Source organism: Homo sapiens, chromosome 1, assembly GCF_000001405.40.
Source record: "Homo sapiens chromosome 1, GRCh38.p14 Primary Assembly".
Taxonomy (NCBI): Eukaryota; Metazoa; Chordata; class Mammalia; order Primates; family Hominidae; genus Homo; species Homo sapiens.
In genome coordinates, this window is record NC_000001.11 from 78,919,691 (window position 1) to 78,946,035 (window position 26,345).

Consider the following 26,345-nt stretch of genomic DNA (forward strand, 5'->3'; position numbering starts at 1 on the left):
ACCAATACAATATGAAACCTTTTGGGAAGGTTCAAATGGTTCAAAATCAATAATCTTGGGAAATGGGAAGTTAGAAAAGATACTAGGTAAAACCAATTTATCACATTCCAACCTACAAACTGTGACTGCATTTATGTTCAGTCCCTATTCTAAGATAAAGTTTATTTCTAATTGTTTCTCTCCTTGGCCTTTGTTTAACGTCCATTTAAAAACAAAACAGAACAACAAAAAAGTATTTATTCAGTTTGTTGCAAAGTTTTAACTTGTCCCAATAATTCATCATAATGAGGGCCATTTTTGCTGAATGGACTTGATAAGTAGTTTGCTTAGCTGTGTTAGCATTATCAAACTTAGAAAGGATAGCTGAAGAACAAATTATAGAGAACGTCTGCCCCATTAAACCCTAAATTACAAATAATGTTTCTAGGACATATACATTTAAGAAAGTACACATATCATAGGACAAAAATAGAGATTAGGATGCCTACATACCTTATTAGTATTTGTATTGATCCCAACAAGAAAAACAAGTTCAGCAAGAAATAGGCTACAGCAAAGATTTTTGTGAATTGTTGTCCTGGTGCTTTGAATTTCACTGAAGAACCAGAAGGTAAAAATGCATATGGCAAGACAAATCAGTGAAATAATTATTCCTAGTTGAGTGATCCTTGTAAGAATATTATAATCTTTAATACCCTAAGGGAAAATAATAATAAAGCAGTTAAAAGAATAACTCACTAAGTTGTCAAAGGAACTACAACATATAATGAACTTCCTTTTTTGGTGAAACATTAATCAAAATGTTCATAAAATGTAAAAATATAAATGTGCATTTAGATGAGAAAAATTTTGTACTTTTGAAAATCCTCAATATCCACATAAATCTGATGTAAATCATGTAGCACTTTAACAGTTCTGTAATTGGTGATTTTTTTTCTAGGCATAGTATTAGTATTAGTACATGGTTTAACAATGTTATCGTCATTAATTTCACTACATTAGAAAGGCAATCGATTATTATAATGTGAACATGGTTAATTAAAACAGATTTATCAGTGGTAAGACTAAGTCTTATGTCTATGCAGTGATTCATCTAAAACATGTGAAACAAAGGTGTTAGCAATGCAGAATATAAGGATTATCAAGTAATATTGTTCAGAAACTTTGAAATAGAAAATGCTGGTTTTATCCTAACTAGATGAATACTTATGTTTATATACGGAATAGATGTTTATTTGCTTAAGTTCAGGAAAAAATCATTGTTAGGACTGACATTATGTTCAGGTAGATTTATTTGGTTACTTTATATATTTAATGATAGATTATAAATAAATATATTAAAATGGAGATGATAGCACAGAGCTATAAAATAAGAAATTATGTGATAAATATACAATGTAAGTAAGATATTACAAAAGTAAGATAAATGTCATGAAACTATTCACCTTAGAGAGATTCTTCATGTTTAAAAATCTTGTGGCGTTCTACATTGCTAAAAACATGATGTTAGTTATAAGTGTGCTAATACTTATTGCCCAACTGTCAAATATTTTCAGGAGCTTTGTCATGAGTAAAAATAAACTGTCATCACAAAAAAGTGCCTTTAAATTCCGTGATACATTAAAATGGGCAAATGGCTCTTGAAAGCAGCATTACAAGCTAATTTAATATGTAATCTACCAGATATTACAGACTAGATAAGTCTTAGACTAGAAATAATCTTAAATGCATACTAGATATGTTTCAGAAGGTAGGTAGGAAAACAGACAGAAAGAAAGATCCTGTTGGGGTTTTATCTCTTATACTAAATGTGCTATCTAAACCCAAGAAAAATATATAAAAAATTAAATATTGTCTCGAATGATGCGGAAAAAAAACAGAAAAAGCAACATTTATAAATATGAAGGGGAAAATTATCTTACAATGGAAGGACCAGAGGACATCAAAATTGCAAAATGTGTCAGGTGATTACAGCGGCATGAGGTGTGGGTCTCATTTGAGTATGTCAGCTCACAGCCCTCTGAAGACCAGCTGCCATTCATGGTATCAGGTGAGTAATTCCAAAATGCACATAGACTCCTATACCTATCTGTGACCTGAAAAAAAGATACTTTACTGATGAAAAAAGAGAAAAAGTTACATACATAGTATTGTTTTGTCATATTTAAAATACCACTAATGTGATTGAAACAATGCCTTAACAGTGAAACACAAAACAAATTATAACAAAGGCTGCTATGTGGCAGAATGGAAATTTATATTGCAACAATGCTGTATTTTATCAATTTTGTCTCACAAACGTGTGGTAATTTTCATTACAGTAAATTACTCATGTCATTTACCACAGTGCATAATTATCATATGTATCTTTATTCAATACAAGTTTGTTGAGTATTTTCTAGATGTTTATCATTAATCCAGGTACTAAAAATACAACAGTGAACAAAACAGAAAAAGTTGTTTGCATTGTTGACATTAAATTCTAGTTAGAGATGAAAAATTATTCAATGAGAAAAGTAACCCTGGGTAAGAAGAAAGAAAGTGATATGGAGGGTTGTCCAAGGGACGTCTCCTAGATTATGTCTAAGCAGGCACTTCGATGACGTGAAGGGGGGTGTCCAACAGACTTGGGAACAGAGGGTTCCAAACAGTTGGAAATGCAAATGGACAAGCTCTGAAGTGAGGCTGACCAGAGGCATTCCAGAAACTTGTAGAAGCCAGTTAAGTTAGAGCACAGTGAGTGAGGTAATGAATAGTGAAGACAAGATCAGATACAGACATGGGACAGATGACACACAGACTGTGTGATAGTTATTCAATAAACAGTGGAATTCTCCTTATCATACTTTTATATTAACTAATCATAACACTATACCTAATGTATGGTTTAATAATAATTTATCAATAAAATGTTGAACTTGTAGAAATAAAAACTATTTAGTTATATAACAATTTACACTTAACTAGGTGCTTGCTTTCTTATTTTGTTTGGTTTGACCCTCATAAACCTTCTCTGAGATAAATGCTATATTATGTTAAGAGGCCAAGATATGTGATTTTAAGGTGTACTTAAGACTAAACACTGATAGATGGAGTAATATAGAATCAAACTCAAATTTTCAGACAAATATTTATTAAAGAAAACATGTCCTGAGTGACAAATGTATAATATATACTGTTCAAGGAGTAAGGATTATCAGTCAAAAAGATAAAGTATCAGCTCTTCAAGGATGATAGAAACTCAGATGATTTAAATACAATAAGATAATTGTTTTAATGGGATAGATGCTAAATACAACCCTTAGGTCAACAGTTGGAGCACTGAAAAAAACTGTGAGTTTGTCTGGAATGAGTCTGGAAAGATAATTGAGTTAAAATTGGAGAGATTGCTAGAAGTTTGTCAAGGAGGTCAAGCTATATGAAGAAAACTGAAATTCTTTTAGTTCCTAAAAGAGCCTGGGAAGGGCCTAATTCTAGAGAAAGTAGAGGGACTCAAGAATTGAGGAGCCAGACTGAACTGTGATTGTGCGTACCATTCAAAAACAGAGTTAAGTGAGGGTCTGTTTACACACTGGTCTCCCATCATGCCCTACCACATTTTCTTAATTTTCCTAATCCTTTCACCAGACTTCTGTCTGGGGTAGATAGGAAAGGAAAAACATTTCTTCCTAAGAAACGGATTGGCCCAAAATAAACTGCTTTTGGGTACTGACATTCGGGATCTTCCAATGCCATGGCCAGGAGCCTGCCTGATGAAAACTCTAGTGAAGCACACCACTGCCACAAGGTCAGGAGAGCACACCGTGTCTCATTATTAAATGTGAATGGGTGGTCATGAACCCCCAGACATCTGAGGACAAGCTCCAACAGCAAAGACAGGGAACCAAGATGAACAATCCAAAGAAAGAAAGTCAAGAGCAAGATGATGCAGGAAGCAGAAAATAGCTTTTTTAAAAAAATATATAAATAATATCTCAGAGAGATGAGATACTGTACCCATTAAACAAAATCAGGATTGAAAAAATAAAGTTTCTCAGTGAAAATAAAGTATAAAGTGAAAATAAAGTATAAAGTAAAAATAAAAAATATTAGGAGAAAAATTAAAAATAGGAATGAAAAAGTTTAAAAACTCCAAATATTAGAAGCTCTGCTGGGAAGTCTCATAAATACTAAGAGGAACAGAAAAAGAGAGCAGAGATACTGTACAGGGAGAGATTACCAAGAAATCATTGTAGAAAATTCCCTAAAACTGAAGACCATACATTTTCAGACTGAAAAGACTCACAAAATGTTTACTGCAATTAATGAAGGAAGATTCACACCAAAGTACATCTTAAAGATTTTGGAATACTGAGAATAAAGATCCCAAAACTTTACAAGAGAGATAAAGAGAAAGAGACTGATTGCATTCAAAAGACAATAAATTTTAATTAAAATATTAATTGCATTCAACTTCTCCAGGTTACCCTTGAAAGCTGAAAGACATATGAACGAGATCTAGAAAGATCTGAGAAAAAAATATAACTCTGTACCATGGTATTTATCTAACTAATATAAGGGTAAGGTAGAAAAATATATTTGTGTGTGTCTGCGTGTATATGTATATTTATATAAAATCTGATAATGCAAGAGCTTAAAAAATTGACCTTCTCTGCTTCCTCTTTCAAATGGCCACTGGAGAATATGCCACCAAAATACATATATAAACTAAGAAAGAGGAAGACATTGCTGGAGGAAACATGGCATCTGACACAGGAGAGGAGAGAGGTGAATGCTGAATGTTATGTGAAAATGATGGGGGAAGGGAAGGCATGCCTGGGCTGATAAATGACCCAGGGGTAGATCATCTAGACAGCATCAAGGCTACAGAGCCTTGGAAAGGATGTCTCCAAGACAACAAACTGGCTGATAGATAAGCTTACATGTTTGAACGTTTTGAAAAGAGATTTATAATTCTGTCAAAGATTTTGGAGACAAATTAACAATGGATAAATAGAAATTTAAGCAAGTGAAAATAAAGGAATTTATTAACACCAGGGAAATGATTGAGCTCCATGATTCAGTTGTGAATAACACACCAATTTATAGTATTATAAACACTGAAAACTGATTTAACCAAAAATTGGAGGTAAGCATGAGCGGATGGATAGTTGAGGGAGTGTGTGTATCACAGCAGAAGATGTGTGTAAGAAAACTAAATCTGAGTCTTCCATAGATGGAAGTCAGCAGATTACATCTACTTTTTAGAAGCTTAAGATAAAAGGAGTTATTAATTTTTGGTTTTTTGGTTGAAGATGATACAGTACCAAAGGGGAATGGTTTTATTTTTTTATAAGGTAGAGACTTGAGTCTTTTTATTAGCTGAGACACTGACACCAATGTGGAGAGATCCAGGAAAGATGAGATGGTGGATGGAGCATAATTTCTTGGGAAGTAGATTGGGATGGATGTAGTGGGCCAAACTGGCCAGGAGTATCATAGCTTCTGAGAGCATGGACTCTGGAGGAAGGCTGCAGGGGCTTGAAACCTTTTCCTACCAGTTAATTGTTGAGTGACCATGAGCAAATTATTTAATCTCACAGGCTCAGTTTCCTCATCTATAAAATGGTAATAATAGTATGTACCTCATATGGCTTTTCTAAGCATTAAATGCGCTCATTTTTTTAAGTAAAAAAACTTAGAATACTGCCTGGTTTCTAACATAAGCACTATGTAATTATTGATTGCTATGAGAATGGTTAATACTACTATAATTACTGTTACTATTCTTCTGAGGTACTGTAGAATTATGTATTAGTCAAATCGCAGATAAATTATCAGGGAATCAGGACACTGAAGATATTACTTATGAGATAGTTTTTATTTTCTCAGGGGAAAAAATGGGAGCGAAATTTCATTCTCAGAGCAAGGGAACCAGAGACTAAGCAGGTATATTGTCAGAGGAGAGTGGTGAAATTTCATAACAGTCATTACTTATTGAATGGAAAATATATTTGAGCAGAAAGGCAGATAAAAGCAACTAAGTTTTCCCAGGAATTACCGTGAAGAGTTTTTGTTTAAATACGCGTTTTGTTTTGTGTTTTTATCAAACAAGGATTGGTGAAGTGGGTTGTTCTTGGCAACTCTTTAGCTGCCAAACCATTCCACTGATGAAAAACGGAAAAAACATCAGACCATGTAAAAGAACAGTGTTTGGTTTCTAGTATTAAAAACGTCTTTTGCATTTAGCATCTAAAAAAGAAGTCTAAGTTTGGTTTCCAGTCTTAAGCAATTTCACACCTTCTTTTTCCCTCAACATAGTGCTTACCATTATTTAAGTTTGAGCTATTATTTACCTGCACTTTTTATACATTTAGTTTCTCTCTACCTTCAATGTTTTTACTTAACAGTGGCATGTTTGTATTGTGTGTGAGCAAATATACTCTTTTTGTTTAGAAAGCCCCTTTTCCTCCCATAATAATGCAAATATAATTGCTCAACTTCAAGGTACTTCAAATGGAACTTCGAAAGTACTCGAATCATGTACTAGAACTGAAATTCTGTTGAAAGTTTAAGATAACATCAACTGTGAAATGGTAGCAAATAACCTGTGATTTTGAGTTGCCCCCATTCATTTTTAACTAAAATAGCTAAATAGTTGGTTAGTTCTAATCATGCTTTTTTATTGTATAGCTTTAATTATGTATGAGTCTGAAAAATGATTTAGAATAAAAAATAAAAGAGTAAAATGGTCTCCACCAATTTCTTTATGAAACATTGCAAATGTTGCTATAATTTTCTTTTAATCAACACCAGAATCCCTTCAAATATTATTTAAAGTGACAAGTATTAATGAAACACCTCACTTATTACACAAGTGACATTTATTTCTCTGATTGTGATACTTTTTAATAACTCATTCTTCGAAACCATGGATATTTCCAAAATAAACAGTGTACTTATAAATAAAACTAAAATATTGCTTAATTCCAGAGAATCAAATTAATGAATTCCTTGGTATTAATTAGAATGTTTAAAGAGCTGTGAAACTACAAGAATATTTTATACAAAAATTAGTTAAAACTACTTCACTCTTTTAATTTCAAATCTGTATTTTTAAACTCAAGAACTCAGATAATTTAAGTGACACAACAAAGAGTCCAGTTCTCTGACTGTATCACAATCATAGCCAATAACTACCAGAAAAACAGCTTACCTTTCGATGACTTAATGTAAATGTTATTTTTTCAAGTTCATATAATGTGGGTGGGTTTGAGCTCATTGAGACTGAAATTACTGAAGATATGACTCTTTCCTCCTCTTCAGAATTATCATAATTTTGAGGTTTCAATAAGAAGTTGTCAGATGATGAAAGCAAAGGACCAATACTCTTATAATATACAAATGCAACTGCAACATTGCCTATCAATCAAATAAGTATATTTAGTGAAATTCTTATAAAACAAAGTGTATTTAGACTCTTAAGATAAACATAAAAATTGAATAGACAAACATTTTACTTTAGAAATTTATACAAATCCCCAGATACTGAAATATAGACCACAATAAGCCTATGCCTGCATTGTTAAACCATAGGAAGACATATTCTCTGACCTCAAAGAATTCAAAGATAATCATGAACTGTGTAGTATCCCCTTTGCACAAACTATCTTTAGAAGAAAAATAGTCCTAGATAAATTTACACCAAAATCCTGACCAAGAACCAGAGTGTGAAGTGTATTCACTTGAATAACAAAGTTTCAAGTTATTATGTCCTTGTATAAATATATGAACTTAAGAGGTATTGGGAGGAAATTATCACAGGCTGATAGAATCAAGAAAATTTAGAGATGAAGGAGTTGTAACATGCCACTGAGTTCAAATGTATGCCCACTAAAATGGTTTCTATTTAATATTGATAACATGTAATTATGCAGTGTCGGGGTAGAAAACTTATTTGCTTGAGAGATGGCCATTTATCCATGTCCCCTAAAACTCCCCAAATGCAGTGCACCAGCATATAACCAAATAGCGCAAAATCATAAATACAAATATTAATATCATCAAATAAAAGGACTGTAATAACAAAACTGGAAACCTCCACATCACATGAATAAACAGGATTATTTGGATATGACTGTGTGAGCTAGAAGTTGCCAAAGTGTATTGCTATTTATGTTTTCTCTCTTAATCTAAAAAGGCACCTCAAGAGACATTGTTAAGAGCCTTGCTAAACCCAGATACATTACATAAAAGATTTTCCTCAAGTGTCGTCTTACAAAACTTATATTAAAGAAAGTATGACATTGTTGGGCTAGTGAAATTATGACTCCAAAAGATGATAACTATCCCAGCCTTTGCTATAAACAGATGAGGGCCTGAGGCAGGACTTGGATACCTGTTAGGTCAACATGACCAGGTCCAGTTGATGAACCATGTCGTGGGACAGTGGCATCTCAGGAGTTGTAGTAGAAGATGGTTCAAAATCAAATGATGAATCAAAAATATAAGAAGGATTTTTAAAGTCTACTAGTTACTGCTTTCCTTTGTGAAGAAAAATATTTATTTAACATCAATTTTTGACTTTTGATAAGGGGTACCACAAAGAATCCTCCAAGATATCTTCTCACCTCATTTACAAATATATTATCTCAGTATTTATTTGTCCATTCCCAGGGTTTTGAACTTCTTCAATTCCTATGATTTCTCACTAATTTGAGGCTTGATCTAGCTTTGAATTTTCTTAACAAACCTGTACTTTTATTAAAAATTAGGGGTTCATTCACTAATAAAGGGCATAAAAACTTTGAATAATTTGAAAAGAGTAGATCATTTCCTAATAAATCATCATCCATTCTTCCTAATTTTTCTTCTTTACAATGCTTACTTTAGTCTTTTTGCCCTAAGATCTTTCCTGTATTTGTTAACATTACCATATGTTTGCCAGGAACCAGAGATAGCCTTCAATTTAATTGATAGAACATATATCTGAGCATTTACACAGTGCAAATAACTATGCTAAGTTGTGGAGACTTTACTTTAGAATTAATACCTATATATATTTGTTTAAAGATTCCCATTCAGTAGGTCTTCTTCCTTATTCCTATTTTGTTTTGTTGCTTCCAATTCTTTTGAATGAAATTAATAGTTTTTTATTACTGTGGTCCAAGCACAAGCCTTCCAAACTATTAGAAAACTACTGGGGTGACAGGAGTTATGATTTTTCCTTATGTTAAATTCCCATATCAATTTTACCCACATACACTATGCAATGAACTCCTTAGAGAATCATTGCTCTCAAACTGCTTTATTGCTACTTTAACTTGAGAATGACTAAAACCACTTCTCAATAGAGCTTCATATGCTGCTTTATTTTTTCACCTAAATGTTGATTTCATAAGTAATTTGAAAATAAGTATGTGAAATCTCTTAACAAAAGTCTATTATCTTTTTATCATAAAACCATAGATCAGAGCATTGAATCTTGTTCTATTAATTCTCAACCCTTCCTCCTTACTCTTCTAAAATTCAGTCTATAAAAAAATATACATTTAAAAATCCAGGGGCCAGGCACAGTGGTTCAGGTCTGTAATCCCAACACTTTGGGAGGCTGAGGTGGGAGGATCACTTGAGGCAGGAGTTCGAGACCAGCCTGGGCAATATGGCAAAACCACGTCTCTACAAAAAATAGAATAATTAGCCCAGCATGGTGGTATGTTTCTTTGGTCCCAGCTACTTGGGAGATTCAGGTGGAAGGATCACTGGAGCCCTGGGAGGTCAAGACTGCAGTGAGCCATGATCATGTCACTGTACTTTAGCCTGGGCAACAGGGTGAGGCCTTGTCTCAAAAAAGAAAAATAAAATCCACTTGTGCTGCATAGACCTCCTATATTTTCCTACCAATGGTACTGTTTATGTTTTAAAGAATGCATGTGTTTTATTAACTAATTTTTTCAATAAATTAATAAATACTTGCAGACATCATTGAGAGGGTTTGATCAATGTGTTAGATTTGTCCTTATTTTTAAGATACAACCTTGAGAAAAACACATTTTCTTACTCTCCTTTACTGACAGCTAATATTACTGTCCCTTTCAAATGTCACTTTGTACATAGGATCATTAAATATAACAAAGCTACCGTACAATCAGACAAAATTTCTTCAGGATATTAATTCCATGACAATTTCATCATCTGTCACTATAATCGGTATTTTCAATGTCTTTTTTCCAACTTCCAAACAGTACCCAAATTGTCTTTGAAATTTCAACAGTTTAACACATTCTTTGGATTTGTTCCTAAATACAAAATGTATGCTTGGTTAATTAGAATATGGTATAATAGAGTAAAAGCCAAGGTTTCAATGGGAGCATGACTTAGTTATTTTTGCTTCATTTATGGCTATTTCCCACTAGAACATAACAAGAAAGAATAGAGGATACGAAAACACTTCTTTTTATGAAATAGTGTCTCTCCATGAGACCATATGTGTGTTGAGGTATATAGTTTCCATTTGTATTTTACTATTTTGTTGTTGTTCTCATATAGGTAAAAATATATTACCTAGAGAAAATAGGAAATATTATTATTATTTTCTTTGCAAAAATTTTACAATTCCTATTTTCTCAAGGTAATATAATTTTACCTATATGAGAACAACAACAAAATTCTACTATCAGCAGGGTTTTTTCTAAATGCATTGCACTAAGATAACAGATAAATGATTAAATTGAAATAGTAACTACTTACTTGCTAGTTAGGTACCAAGGAAAAGCTGATTTTTTTTTTTTTTTTTTTTTTGTGATGGATTCTTGCTCTGTCACCCAGGCTGGAGTGCAGTGGTGGGATCTCAGCTCACTGCAACCTACATCTCCCCGGTTCAAGCAATTCTCTGCCTCAGCCACCTGAGTAGCTGGGATTACAGGCACCCACCATCACACCTGGCTAATTTTTGTATTTTTAGTAGAGATGGGGTTTCACCATCCTGGCCAGGCTGTTCTTGAACTCCTGACCTCATGATCCACCCACTTTGGACTCACAAAGTGTTGGGATTACAGGCGCGAGCCACCGTGCTTGGTCTGGAAAAGCTGATTTCTTTTTAGAAGAATCAGCTTTTAGCGGTTCTGTACTGTCTGCTGATGGACATGGAACAAATCTATTAAGTTTGCACATTAGTTACATCATCCATATAAGAAGGATATTCAGTTATTTAATCATTAATTTGCTTGCTAGTACCAGAATTGAATCAACATTGAATTTTGATACAATTTTTAAAAAGGGTTGTTTAGTTGAAGAGTTTACTATACAAAGACTAAGAAAAATACAAATTATAAGAGAAATCTAAGCCTAAGAAACTTACTTTATCTCCTACCTAGCAAGACAGGCCAACATGCAAATTCAGCAAATACAGAGAGCACCACTAAGATACTCCACGAGAAGATCAACCCCAAGACACATAAACAGATTCTCCAAGGCCAAAATTAAGGAAAAAATGTTATGGGCAGCCAGACAGAGAGGGCAGGCCACCTATAAAGGGAAGCTCATCAGACTAAGAATGGACCTCTCAGCAGAAACTCTGCAAGTCAGAAGAGATTGGGGGCCAATATTCAACATTCTTTAAGAAAAGAATTTTCAACCCAGAGTTTCATATCCAGCCAAACTAAGCTTCACAAGCGAAGGAGAAATAAAATCCTTTCTAGACAAGCAAATGCTGAGGGATTTCGTCACCACCAGTCCTGCCTTGCAAAAGCTCCTGAAAGAAGCACTGAATATGGAAAGGAAAAACTGGTTCCAGACACTGCAAAAGCAACCAAAATATAAAGACCAATGACACTATGAAGAAACCGCAGCAACTAGTGTGTAAAATAACCAGATAGCATCATGATGACAGGATCAAATTCACACATAACAATACTAACCTTAAGTGTAAGTAGGCTAAATGCCCTAATTTAAAGGCACAGACTGGCAAATTGGATAAAGAGTTGAGACCCATCGGTGTGCTATGTTCAGGAGACCCATATCATGTGCAAAGACATACATAGGCTCAAAATAAAGGGATGGAGGAAAATTAACCAAGCAAATGGAAAGAAAAAAAAAGCAGGAGTTGGCAATCTTACTCTCCAACAAAACAGACTTTAAACCAATAAATATCAAAACAGACAAAGAAGGGCATTATATAATGGTAAAGGGATCAAGTCAACCAGAAGAGCTAATTATCCTAAATATATATGCACCCGATACAGGAGCCAGATTCATAAAACAAGTTGTTAGAGACCTACAAAGAGACTTAGACTCCCATCCAATAATAGTGGGAGACTTTGACGCCCCACTGTCCATATTAGACAGATCAATGAGACAGAAAATAAACAAGGATAATCAGGACTAGAACTCAGTTCCGGATGAAGTGGACCTAATAAACATTTACAGAACTCTTACCCCCAAATCAACAGAATATGCATTCTTCTCAGTGCCACATGGCACTTATTCTAAAATCGACTACATAACTGGAAGTAAAACACTCCTCAGCAAATGCAAAAAACTGAAATCATAACAGTCTCTCAGATTACAGTGCATTCAAATTAGAATGCAGGAATAAGAAACTCACTCAAAACCATACACTTACATGGAAGTTGAACAACCTGCTCCTGAATGAATCCTGGGTAAATAATGAAATTAAGGCAGAAATCAAGAAGTTCTTTGAAACCAATGAGAACAAAGAGACAAGGTACCAGATCTCTGGGACACAGTTAAAGCAGTATTAAGAGGGAAATTTATAGCACTAAATGCCCACAACAGAAAGCTAGAAAAATCTCAAATCAATACCCTAACATCACAATTAAAAGAGCTAGAGAAGCAAGAGCAAACTAATCCAAAAGCTAGCAGAAGGCAAGAAATAACTAAGATCAGAGCAGAGTTGAGGGAGATAGAGACACAAAAACCCCTCCAAAAAAAAAAAAAACAATGAATCCAGAAGCTGGTTAAAAAAAAATTAACAAAATAGACCACAAGCTAGGCTAATAAAGAAGAAAAGAGAGAAGAATCAAATAGGCACAATAAAAATGATAAGGGGGATATCACCACTGACCCTACAGAAATACAAACTACCATCAGAGAATACTATAAACATCTTCATGCAAAAAAACTAGAATATCTAGAAAAAATGGATAAATTCCTGGGCACATACAATTTCCCAAGACTAAACCAAGAAAAAGTCGAATCCCTGAATAGACCAATAACAAGTTCTGAAATTGAAGCAGTAATTAGTAACCTCCCAAACAAAAAAAGCCCAGAGCCAGACTGATTCACAGCCTCTGGAATTCTACCAGAGGTGCAAAGAAGAGCTGGTGTTATTCCTTTTGAAACTATTCCAAAAAATTGAGGAGGAGGGAATCCTCCCTAGCTCATTTTATGAAGCCAGCCATCATCCTGATACCAAAACCTGGCAGAGACACAACAATAAAAGAAAACTTCAGGCCAATATCCCTGATGAACATTGATGCAAAAATCCTCAATAAAATACTGGCAAAATGAATCCAGCAGCACATCAAAAAACATATCCACCACAATCAGGTCAGCTTCATCCCTGGGATGCAAGGCTGGTTCAACATACACAAATCAATAAATGTAATCCATCACATAAACAGAACCCAAGACAAAAACCACATGATCATCTCAATAGATGCAGAAAAGGCATTTGACAAAATTCAGCATCCCTTCATGTTAAAAATTATCAACAAACTTGATACTGATGAAACATATCTTAAAATCATAAGAGCTATTTATGACAAACCCACAGCCAATATCATATTGAATGGGCAAAAGCTGGAAGCATTCCCTTTGAAAACTGGTACAAGATAAGGATGCCCTCTTTCACCACTCTTATTCAATGTAGTATTGGGAGTTCTGGCCAGGGCAATCAGGCAAGAGAAAGAAATAGAGGGTATTCAAATAGGAAGAGAGGAAGTCAAATTGTCTCTGTTTGCAGATGACATGTTTGTTTATTTAGAAAACCCCATCATCTCAGGCTCAGAACTCCTTGAGCTGATAAGCAACTTCAGCAAAGTCTCACAATACAAAATCAATGTGCAAAAATCACAAGCATTCTTTCACACCAACAATAGACAAGCAGAGAGCCAAATCATGAATGAACTCCCATTCACAATTGCTACAAAGAGAACAAAATACCTAGGAATACAGCTAACAAGGGATGTGAAGGACCTCTTCAAGGAGAAGTACAAATCACTGCTCAAGGAAGTAAGAGAGGACACAAACAAATGGAAAAATTGTCCGTGTTCACAGATAGGAAGAATCAATATCGTGAAAATGGCCATACTGCCCAAAGTAATCTATAGATTCATGCTATTCAAACTACCATTGACTATTTCACAGAATTAGAAAAAAAATACTTTAAATTTCATATGGAATCAAAGAAGACCCCATATAGCCCAGACAATCCTAAGCAAAAAGAACAAAGTTGGAGGCATCACACTACCTGACTTCAAACTATACTACAAGGCTACAGTAACCAAAACAGCATGGTACTAGTACCAAAAAGAACAGAGACCTCAGAAATAACACCACACATCTACAACCATCTGATCTTCAACAAACCTGACAAAAACAAGCAAAGGGGAAAGGATCTCTTATTCAATAAATGGTGCTGGTAAAACTGGCTAGCCATATGCAGAAAACTGAAATGGGACCCCTTCCTTACACCACAGACAAAAATTAACTCAAGATGGATTAAAGACTTAAATGTAAAACCCAAAACCATAAAACTCCTAGAAGAAAATGTAGGTAATACCATTTAGGACATAGGCATGGACAAAAACTTCATGACAAAAACACCAAAAACAGTTGCTACAAAAGCCAAAATTGAAAAATGAGATCTAATTAAACTAAAGAGCTTCTGCACAGCCAAAGAAGTTATCATCAAAGTGAACTGGAAACCTAAAGAATGGGAGAAAATTTTCACAATCTATCCATCTGACAAAGGTCTAATACCCAGCATCTACTAGGAACTTCAACAAATTTACAAGAAAAAAATCAAGCAACTCCATCAAAAAGTGGGCAAAGGATATGGACAGACACTTCTCAAAAGAAGACATTTATGCAGGCAACAAACATGAAAAAAAAGCTCGACATTACTGATCACTAGAGAAATGCAAATCAAAAGCACAAGGAGATACCATCTCATGCCAGTCAGAAGGGTGATTATCAAAAAGTCAAGAAACAATAGATGCTGGTGAGGCTGTGGAGAAATAGGAACGCTTTTACACTGTTAGTGGGAATGTAAATTAGTTCAACCATTGTGGAAGACAGTGGTGATTCCTCAAGGATCTAGAACCAGAGACACCCTATTTGAACCCACAATCCCATTACTGGGTATGTACCCAAAGGATTATAAATCATTCTACTATAAATACACATGGGCACGTATGTTTATTGCAGCACTATTTACAATAGCAAATTTATGGAACCAACCCAAATGCCCATCAATGATAGACTGGATAAAGAAAATGTGGTACATATACACCATGAAAAACTATGCAGCCATAAAAAGGAAAGAGATCATGTCTTTGCAGGGACTTTGATGAGAGCTGGAAGCCATCATCCTCAGCAAACTAACACAGGAACAGAAAATTAACAGCACATGTTCTCACTCATAAGTGGGAGTTGAACAATGAAAACACATGGACACAGGGAGGGGAACATCACACACCAGGGCCTGCTGGGGAGTGGGGAAAGAGGGGAGGGAACTTAGAGGACTGGGTCAATAGCTGAGGCAAACCACCATGGCTCACGTATAACTGTGTAACAAACCTGCATGCTGTGCACGTTTCCCAGAGTTAAGCAAAATTAAAAAAAAAAAAACAAACCTACTTTAAAAAAATCTCTATTTTTCTTCCTCACACAATCACAAATTTTGTCTCATGATGAAGAATATGATGGATTATTGAGGAAGAAATATTAAAGGAACTGCAAATATAGTGACTTTGCTGTATAAGGAGTAGTAAAATCAGAGCTCTTTTGTATATTTTCATTAGAATCTCAACAATTTCAGACAGTAACAAAAGTTGGAGGTAAGACAAGGACCCAGATATTGTCAGCCAAAATCCTCCCCAGGTATTTATAACAGAATGGAAATCTCAAGTAAGAATATGGATATTCTGGGCCGGGCGCGGTGGCTCACGCTTGTAATCCCAGCACTTTGGGAGGCCGAGGCGGGCGGATCACGAGGTCAGGAGATCGAGACCATCCTGGCTAACACGGTGAAACCCCGTCTCTACTAAAAATACAAAAAAATTAGCCGGGCGTGATGGCGGGCGCCTGTAGTCCCAGCTACTCGGGAGGCTGAGGCAGGAGAATGGCGTGAACCCGGGAGGCGGAGCTTGCAGTGAGCCGAGATTGCGCCACTGCACTCCCGCCTGGGCCACAGAGCGAGACTCCGTCTCAAAAAAAAAAAAAAAAAAAAAAAAGAATATGGATATTCTGTATACTGTACATACATCAAATGTTTTTATAGGAAACCACATGTTACATGTACATATGACATAATCAAATGCATGATAAATATTTATTGCAAATTCATTGATATATTGTCTGTTAGATTGTTAAAGTCCTACCATTTGAATCATATGCAGCTTTTCTCTTTGGAAATATATTTATGTAGTCTCCATCCATATTCATATGAGGATGAATATGTTTCATGTTATATGAATCAAAAAAGAAAACTTTGAGAGCTGAAACAAAACCATGAAAATAAAAAAAGTGAAATTACTTTAATCAATATACATCATAAATATATTAGCTTAGAGACAATTTCATCCATCATTATTGTGTTTTAAATTATTTATAACAAGTAGAGTGAACATTCTTAATGTGTTTGGACAATGTAATGTATATGTTAAAAATCTGACTCAAGTTTTAATTTTTTAATTTCACTATGGCACTCATGGTTTAACTTTTTTTGCATTAAATAAAATATAATATGTGTATGTAACCAAGCAAGCTATAAAATTATAATTACTAAAGCAAAGATAAGCAACTACAATGGCTTACAGAATAGTGTCTACAACTTACTAATGAGTGATTTAATTAAACGTTTGAGTGATAATTCCTTTGACCTGCTGTATTATCACCATTTTCATGCAGAAACATTATAAAAATATAGAGCACCTATATATTAGTCATAATGCTTGAAACTTTGATTTAGAGTAAACGATGAATCCTGATGAGATTTTTGTAAATCTGCTGTTGCACAGCAGAATGCCAACCAGAAAATGCAATAAAGATGTCTGCAGTGATTATTTCAGCTAACTTACCTTGCTTCCTCAGAAAAAGTTTATAGGGATCCTCAATTTGATACAAGATTCTGAATATTTTAAGTATGAATTTGCATGAAGCAGGAAACATTCTAATTTGCTATGTTGATTGCTTTATATTATGAACATGCAAAGGATTCTTAAATAGAAGTTTAAATGTGTTATATCCGGCTGGGCATGGTGGCTCATGCCTGTAATCCCAGCACTTTAGGAGACCGAGGCAAGTGGATGGCTTGAGGCCAGGGGTTCGAGACCAGCCTGGCCAACATGGTGAAACCCCATCTCTACCAAAAGAACAAAAATTAGCCAGGTGTGCTGGCACACGCCTGTAATCCCAGCAAGTTGGGAGGCTGAGACAGGAGAATTGCTTGAAACCAGAAGGTGGAGGTTGCAGTGAGCTGAGATTGCGCCACTGCACTCCAGCCTGGGTGACAGAGCCAGACTTTGTCTTTAAACAAACAGACAAACAAAATCCAAAAGATCATTGGTCAAGGTAGATCCTAACAAGTCATGAGATGATGGACTCAAAATGCCAAGGGAATAATGTACTCTGACCATTTAATGGCTGTACAGTTCAGGAATCAGAAAAGGTGGATATGATAGGAAGGAGACACTTGTGGATTTATCCTTTTGACTGGTACTTTATTCACAATGCTTTTGCAATATGCATCACCATTCATTTGTACACTGATAAAACTACTTTCAATGTAATCAATACTAGTTTCAACACCATGCCTCCTAACCCCACCCAAAACTTTGAAAATGGCTTATTTGGAAAACACAATTACTTTTAAATGGACCCTTGTTTCTTACCTATATCCGTTGAATTTGTATCAAACTCTGTGGTCTTTTGGAAGCTCTGGGATATCCTTAAAGTAGCTTGTTCAACAGTGTGCATGAGTTTTGTAAGATGTGTTCTCCTATGATTCACAGATAACTTGTCCCAAACTACAAATGTATCCCTTTGAACAAAATTATTCACGGTTTTTACAAATTCCTATTGAAAAAAAGTATGTCTTTTAGAAATGTTGGAATCCTACACTATTCACAAATGAAAGGAAAAATTCAAAGCTCAATTATATTGAGTTAAAGCTGAACATACTTACAGTAAGAGTTGAGTTAGAAAGGGTGTCCTTGGCTGAGATAGTGTTGTTCTTGTAACCTAGTAATGAAGATGATTCAGCTAATATTTCTATATATGTAATTATATCTGTTGGTGAAAGATCTGTCACAGAATTTCTATAGACTTCTTGTAGCAAAGCCACAGGTTCTTTTATGGATCTGATCTGAGAAAAAATGAGTCCAGAAAAAGGAAACTAAATTAGTTCTACTGGAGTTTTACAAGAATAAAACTTACATGTTAAATTTACCCTGAGGTTGGTTTCCTTGGTCTACACATAAATAATATCAAACTAATAAACCTAAACCATAACATGCATCATTGAAACCTGAATTTATTTACAAGAGATTAGCAAATAACTTAAAAGCCTAGACTTGACTTTAGAAAAGAAATAGAGCATGTTTGAATTAATAATTTTTTTAAATGAGCTTTCAAAATAACTTCCTATTCTTCAGTATAGAATTATATCCTAGCCAATGAATCTACCTTAATACTTAAACTTCTTAGTACTTATAAATATTGATATCCTAAGCAATAAATGATAATACTTTAAATTAGATTTTAATCAACCAAAGAAAATTCTTTACAATGTGATTAAGTGAAAATTTGCTTTAAACTGACAGTTTATTACTCATGTTGAGATTCACATTTTCAATCATACGACAATTATTTTATAAATCACCTACTTTATTTGCTCTTTGAATGTTCACTTTGAAGTACCAAATCTAGGTGCATTCAATTATGTCTACTTAGAATGTGGGAATGGGTCTAGAGTCAAAGTATCTCTTTACTATTTTTTAATCAACATTTTTTACACAAAAAGAATTTTCCAACATATGGAGTAATGAAAATGTAGCATATGAAATATGTAAAAGGCCTCTTGAATAATTTGAGGATTTTCAAATTAACCCTATCTTTGATGCAAACATGATGCTTAGATCTCTATATGTAAACGTTTTCGACTCTCCCTAAAGTTTGACTACTGTTTACTCTTCTTGAAATGTGTGACATTGAAAGCATTTTAATTGAAACCAAAATGTCAAAATAAAATAAATTGTTAACTGTTCTACTTACTTTTGTTAAAGTTTTATTAATATTTGCAGCTATACAGACATTATCTAAATGGCAGTTTGCATTCACATTTTCTGTAAAAAAAGAAAATAGATTATACAGTCAGTTTTAAAAAGTATTTTTCCTAAGCTGATCATATCAATCCCAATGATCTTTCTCACTTATTTAAATATTAAAAAGACATTCTCTAACACTTGAATTTCCTCTTCAGTTTTAGAATGTGCAATATTTTACAGAAAATGAAATAAAAGGGTTTTAAGGGCCAAGAAATGTTAGTTCCATAAAATATTATCTACAATTTTGATTAAATTAAAAAAAATAGGCTTTCATTTCTTTGTTCCATAGAAGATAAAGGAATGCAGGCACATTTCTTGGAAGATGTAGCTCTGTGATACTTCACAACTGTGTACTACATATTTTATATAGTTCTTTGATCATACATAAAATTTAATAATGTAATTTACATTGGCAGTAAGCGCCATCATTATGTGTGAACTGTGATTTTCCTGTGGATGTCTGATAACCTTCTTTGCAGGAGCAGTTATACCCACCATTCACATTTTCACATATGGAATGATCATCACAGGCAACTGACTCACTGCACTCATCTATATCTGGAAATACTAATATTTGAAAAAATGTTTTAGTGCTCATATGCCTGCTACCTTGTTGAAAATAGTGTTACTTATGATTAGCAGTTTCATGTCAAATTTTACAAGAAAGCAAGAGAAATACTATCATTTAGACAATGGCAGAACAAACTTAGATGCATATACTTTTTAACTTTAATTCCTCCAATCAATTTTGACAGAGTATTGAAAATATTATTCATGGGCCAAATTCTCAAATTGCTTTCTGAATTGCGTGATTAATCAACAAAGTCATTACAGAAATTTCCATCATTGATGATGTAACATTTAGTTCTAATTTAACAAAGACCCAATTTAAGAAACACATTTAAACTTATTTGTTTTCTAGTATTAAACTAAACTGATTTCAACAACTCAGTGTAATCTGGAGGATAAAAGAGCGACCTGATTTCTTTCCAAAGCTTCATTTTTGCATTTAAGTTAACCTAAAAAACTAAGATATAGCAGAACGTGTGATTGAATTCCCTTAAAATTTTACCACAACTTATTACTTTTGTTCAAGGTTATATTTTACTATGGTTCTTCATACACAATCATCATAAATAAAGTAATACATTATATAGAATTAAGTCTTACATTCTCAAAAGCCATGTATTGAGGCTGTAATAAAGGTGCTGGGTTTTAAGCTTACATAGTATATATTCTTAATTTAAAACTTTACTTACTACAGTGAAATATGCTTCACATTATAAGTACAGTATAAATAATCTGCCACTAGAGAAAAGATTCTAAGGAACTGAGGAGTCTAGATCATTACCTTGAATTAATGCAAAAATTTTTATGTTTCTACCCCAGGTTTGACGTCTTAAAGATACTTTATATTAAATTAATAAATGAACATCTAACCTTAAATTTATAATGTAATTTATTTAAAACTAATAGGGTGGCATAATACTGTTTGCTGTAGAAAAAGGGTGTGTAACCAAAGTCTAATTTAAAATGTCATCTAGCTAGTTATCTTAAATGCAGGTGTTCGTAATTTCTCACTCAAAAATCCAACAAAAAGACCTAGAAAACACATCCAAATTCACACCACCAAAACTGAAAATGGAAAGTGAGCCTCTTGCTACATTCTTAAAGAAAGCTCCATTCACTAGAAAGGTGATGGTACTAGATTTAAGAGGTCAGCTAATAGCCCAGGCCTAAAAGGTTAGAACAGTTCTTGTTCTTCTGACAAGTATATATATTCAAAATCTGTACTACCCAGAAATATGAGCACACCACTTCCAAAGAAACACAAATGCTCCTGTAGCACCCTCACCCCTCATCCTCTATTTCTAAGTGTATTCAGGAACTACCACTCCACAGAAATGAATTAACAGAAAATAAAGTAGGGGAGAAGTAATGACAAGTGACCTTGGGATATGGAGAACCATCAAGGAAAGCATTCTAGGCTGGGCTAAAGACAGAAGCACTCAGATGGTAGTGCAGACTAGGGTTATCACTTGTCATGAAATCAATGAAGTGAGAAAGCTATATAGGACTAAAGCAAAGATGAGTCTTTTTTAGAGCAGAACTGCTGAAGTATGAAATGTTATACTCCAACTGGGAAAACACCCCAATGAAAGTGTGAATAAACCCATGAAGTATCATAAACAACACCAAAAAAAATTTATTTCATGAGCAAGAAAACTACTATGTTCTTTGAATACCCTTGTTTTGTAGTTGAGATGCCTTCTATAGGTAACAGTAAACAAGGTGGTTTTTTCTCTCAATTTCAATCCCCCCTTTTTTTTTTAAATGTGCAACAGTCTTAGAAACTTTATTCCAAACCCAATCTCTGAGAAACACAAAAATCTTGGCTCCATGGACTCAATTTCCATCCTCCTTCTTGCACTTTGAACTTAAATGTCCAGTGAAACTGGCTTGTCTACAGTGAATGTGCCTGTCATTTTGCAGCAAGATCCACACTAATTTCTCTTGCAATCTCTTGCAGGTTCAAATGGCTAAAACCTACGGTTTCCTCTTTCCTGCAGGAAAAGTCTCCGGGATTGCTAATTAGAAGATCTAAATTCAAATCCTGACTATAACACTTATGAGCTGTGTGATAACCTTGGGTAATATCTTAAAAAGACACCTTCTAGGCCCGGCGCAGTGGCTTTCGCCTGTAATCCCAGCACTTTGGGAGGCCGAGGCGGGTGGATCACGAGGTCAGGAGATCGAGACCATCCTGGCTAACACGGTGACACCCCGTCTCTACTAAAAATACAAAAAATTAGCCAGGCATGGGTGGCAGGTGCCTGTAGTCCCTGCTGCTCGGGAGGCTGAGGCAGGAGAATGGCATGAACCTGGGAGCACCACTGCACTCCAGCCTGGGTGACAGAGCGAGACTCCGTCTCAAAAAAAAAAAAAAAAAAAAAAAAAAGACACCTTCTAATCCAAAAGAGTTCTACCTCATCAACAAATAAGAAAATGTATGGGAAGGTGGAATAGTGCCTAGGATATAGTTGCCACCTGATACTGTAACTGGAAAATCAGGACTGGTGATTCTACTCATATTGCATATTTTCCTAATAGCAGGAGCCTTGTGACTAAGTATGTTTGAAGATACAGATAAATAAAGAGTGTTTTCTTCTAGGTTACCATGTCTTGGTAATCTCCAAATCTATTAAAAAAGAAACCTCTTTCCTATCTTAATGAAAGCTAAATCTCTGTTAGGTAATTATTTAAGTCAGGCTAGATTTGACAGACCTGATTTACTGATTGACCCACTTTCCTCACTACCAACTTATTTGATTTTAAACTAATAATTTGATATCACTAAATGCAAGCATATCATTAACAAACAATCTTAACTCATTTTTATTAATAGGTGATGCTTGGCTGGCTCACACCTGTAATCCCAGCACTTTAGGAGGCTGAGACAGCAGAATCACTTGATTCCAGGAGTTTGAGACCAGGCTGAGCAACATAGCAAGAACCTGTCTCTACTAAAAAAATTTAAAAATTAGTCAGACAAGGTGGTGTGTAGTGTAGTCCCAGCTATTTGGGAAGCTGATACAGAAAGATCACTTGAGCCCAGGAGTTCCAGGCTGCAGTGAGCCATAACTGCACCACTGCACTCCAGCCTGGGTAACAGAGACCTCAGCTCAAAAATAATGATAATAATAATAATGATAATAATAATGTTATGTTTGTTTCCATGTGTATAATTAGCCAATCCAGCAATATTTTATCATAATCTTCTTTCAAAACATGATCATATGATGGTTATGATTCTTATAATTATGATCAATAATACAGTTTTCTAATGCGTAACTCACAGACTGCCAAAGAAAGATAAAATGTTCAATTATAGTAAATTATTTTCAAAGACAAAATTTAATATTATTCAAAGCTAGAAAAAAAAATCTACAATTATCATCGAGTGCTCCAGGCAGTAGGACATTACAAGCAGTAAACAATGCTCTAAAACACATGGTGAAATTGAAGGAATTCATGGCTTCTATTAATTTGGTTTTAGGAGATTGACTTTACTATTGGATGCCTCAGCTTCCCCTTGTGAAATTCTTGTGTGTAACTAGGTTTCTCAGGAGCTGGACTTCTGAAGTTCTGTTTTACTGTGATTCAAAGAGGAGGAGAAATATGTGCAGTGCTAAATCTCACCCAGCGCTTTCTGCAGCAAAATGAACTTATGTGTCGAAAATAGTATTTGAATATGGACTAAAGGTAAAGAATTTTGCTTGGATTATTTCTTGCCCTGTATCAAAGTCTTCCATTTTTTATTCATAGAGATTTTAATGACTATAATTACCAGAAATGTCAAATTTAAGGATAAGCTAAAATTTCAAATCAGAAGCAATACACTGTAAGGTGATATACTAACGCAAAAGGGAGTAGATTTATGTTTCTCTGTTCAAATTCCCTGAGGATTATGATATTGTGCAACGAAAATTACTGCAGGACTGAAATAAAAAGAAATAGCTGCACTGCTTTTCAAAAAAGCTTAATCCTTAAAGACAACAAAAATTGATGAGAAATAACATTTTTCTAGAGAATGAATTTTTCACTGAATAATCCATCAAACAAAACAGGTAGAAACAGAAGGGCTCAATACTGGGTATTGGGCTTTAATAAGGTTAGTGCCTTTACTGACTACTTAAAATAGCTAAAAATGGAATTAGCACAAACTCAGGCCCATTCCACCTTAACACAATAGAAATTGAGTATCAAGAGAAAGAGTCTTCAATTACAAATATACTACCTCCATAAAATGTTGCCATTCAGTAATCTTTGTGTTTTTGTTTTCTCTGTATTTATGATTCAGTGTTTTCTAATGCAGAAATTCTCTACTTCAAGGAACATGAACCGAGAAATGTAGCCCTTTGTGAGTTGAGGGTTATTAAAAGTAAACATGATCAGATAAAAAGACAGATGTCTTCTACAGACAAGAGACATTAGGGAATGGAGAGCACAGTTAAAACTGTATTAAATTACAGTGATTAAGATGTTACAAGTTAGACTTCTTCACTAACTGGAACATTTCCACTAAAGCTTGCAGGGCTGCATATTAGAACTGAACTACCAAAGGTAAAAAGCACATTATATGACATTCTAAGACTAGTAACAAGAATATAGGCTTGAGAAGAACAAACAGTGAAGTACTGTAAGTTTTCTGGGCAGAATATCATTGATTCCTATTTCCTGAGAATGTTGTTATGCTATATTGCAATAAAACTTTTTTCTAGAAACACTAAAGGTAAAATTACCATTCAACAGTAATAGCATTGTTTTCTCATATTTTAAATATTTTATACCCTTGCAAAGCTTGATCGGCTGTATTTGGATGATTCAGATCAAAGTGATATTTAAATGGTCTACTACACATTTAAGTATTCCATGGAAATAACAAAGGGTTTTTAGATACAAGACTGTGAGTGTAGCCTTACCTTTATCCAAAATGTATGAATCTAGAGTAGTCCTTTACTTCCTTGGCAATAAAATGAGGAGAATAAAATATTCCTTTTTTACATAACAGAGTAAATGTTGTGAAGCGTAGGTACATGAGACTGGATGATTTCTTTAACACAGACATTTCACAGATAAAATTTTTGAACATTGTGTCATAGCTTACCATCCCAGCACTTTGAGAGGCTGAGGTGGGCAGATTGCCTGAGCTCAGGAGTTCAAGACCAGCCTGGGCAACACGGTAAAACCCTGCCTCTACTAAAATACAAAAAATTAGCTGGGTGTGGCAGCGTGCACCTGTAGTCCCAGCTACTCGGTAGGCTGAGGCAGGAGAACTGCTTGAACCTGGGAGGCAGAGGTTGCAGTGAGCCGAGATCGCACCACTGCACTCCAGCCTGGGCGACAGAGCGAGACTCTGTCTCAAAAAAAAAAAAAATATATATATATATATATATCTCAATAGGGCACTAATCAAAGGCTTTATTGTGATTTAGATTAACTTGAATATCTATCTCTTTTATCTAACTATATCATTTAGAAGCAGCGCATTACCCTTCTCTATGTTGCATGTAGGTTCCTGAATTCTAGTCCCATGTCTAACCTTGGCTACATGATTACATTCTCAGGGCCTCAGCATACCTATTAATTTTGTAGATTACCAATCATAATTATAATAGTTATTGATAAGTTGAATATTTTTTAGAAACCATGCTTAAGATTATTTAAAATTTATTTTCAAAATTAAAGTCTTTGGCTCCAGAGAATTTGCTTCTGAAAATTATTCATCTGTTGAAGTTTATAAATAATTATTTTTTCTCAGGCTGTAATCCAGTTCTCTAGGATCTGATAAATCACATGCATGACCAAATTACAATAGAAGGATATTTTTAAAAATTGTCTAGGTACTCCCTTCAGACACACAATAAGTGAACAATCACTTAAAAATTACATTGAAATTATTTTCCCTACAAAGGACATTTTAGTGACCCTACATGATTTTATAAAGAATTTTCTGACTCTAGTGTTCAGAAAAACTTAATGCATATCTGAAGTGTGACTTTTATTAAAGCAGAGGTAAAACCACTAGAACAATTATTTTATAAATGATGATTGTCTGAAAAATATGTAGAACCCATCACAGAGTGCATATTTACAAAGGCCTCAGTATCTTTTAATGCAAATGACAATTTTCTTGGAGTATTTTATTATTCTAAAGTGTAAACATTTATTCTGTTGTTTGCCACTATACTAGATCTCATGACTCCATGAACATTTCTCTCACTTTCTTTTATT

The 26,345-nt window shown here is 34.4% G+C and overlaps 1 protein-coding gene across 1 annotated transcript in view; it reads right to left on the reverse strand.

Moving 5' to 3' along the window:
• The window catches only part of ADGRL4 (adhesion G protein-coupled receptor L4), a 116,967-nt gene that overhangs the window by 29,927 nt on the left and 60,695 nt on the right, over nt 1–26,345 (reverse strand). The window contains exons 4-10 of the mRNA NM_022159.4: nt 19,498–19,568; nt 18,410–18,589; nt 18,117–18,300; nt 16,605–16,721; nt 7,196–7,401; nt 1,923–2,096; nt 493–696 (exon numbers count right to left, since the gene is read on the reverse strand). Of these exons, the coding sequence (NP_071442.2) occupies nt 493–696; nt 1,923–2,096; nt 7,196–7,401; nt 16,605–16,721; nt 18,117–18,300; nt 18,410–18,589; nt 19,498–19,568 (1,136 nt within the window). The remainder of the gene's footprint in view (nt 1–492; nt 697–1,922; nt 2,097–7,195; nt 7,402–16,604; nt 16,722–18,116; nt 18,301–18,409; nt 18,590–19,497; nt 19,569–26,345) is intronic.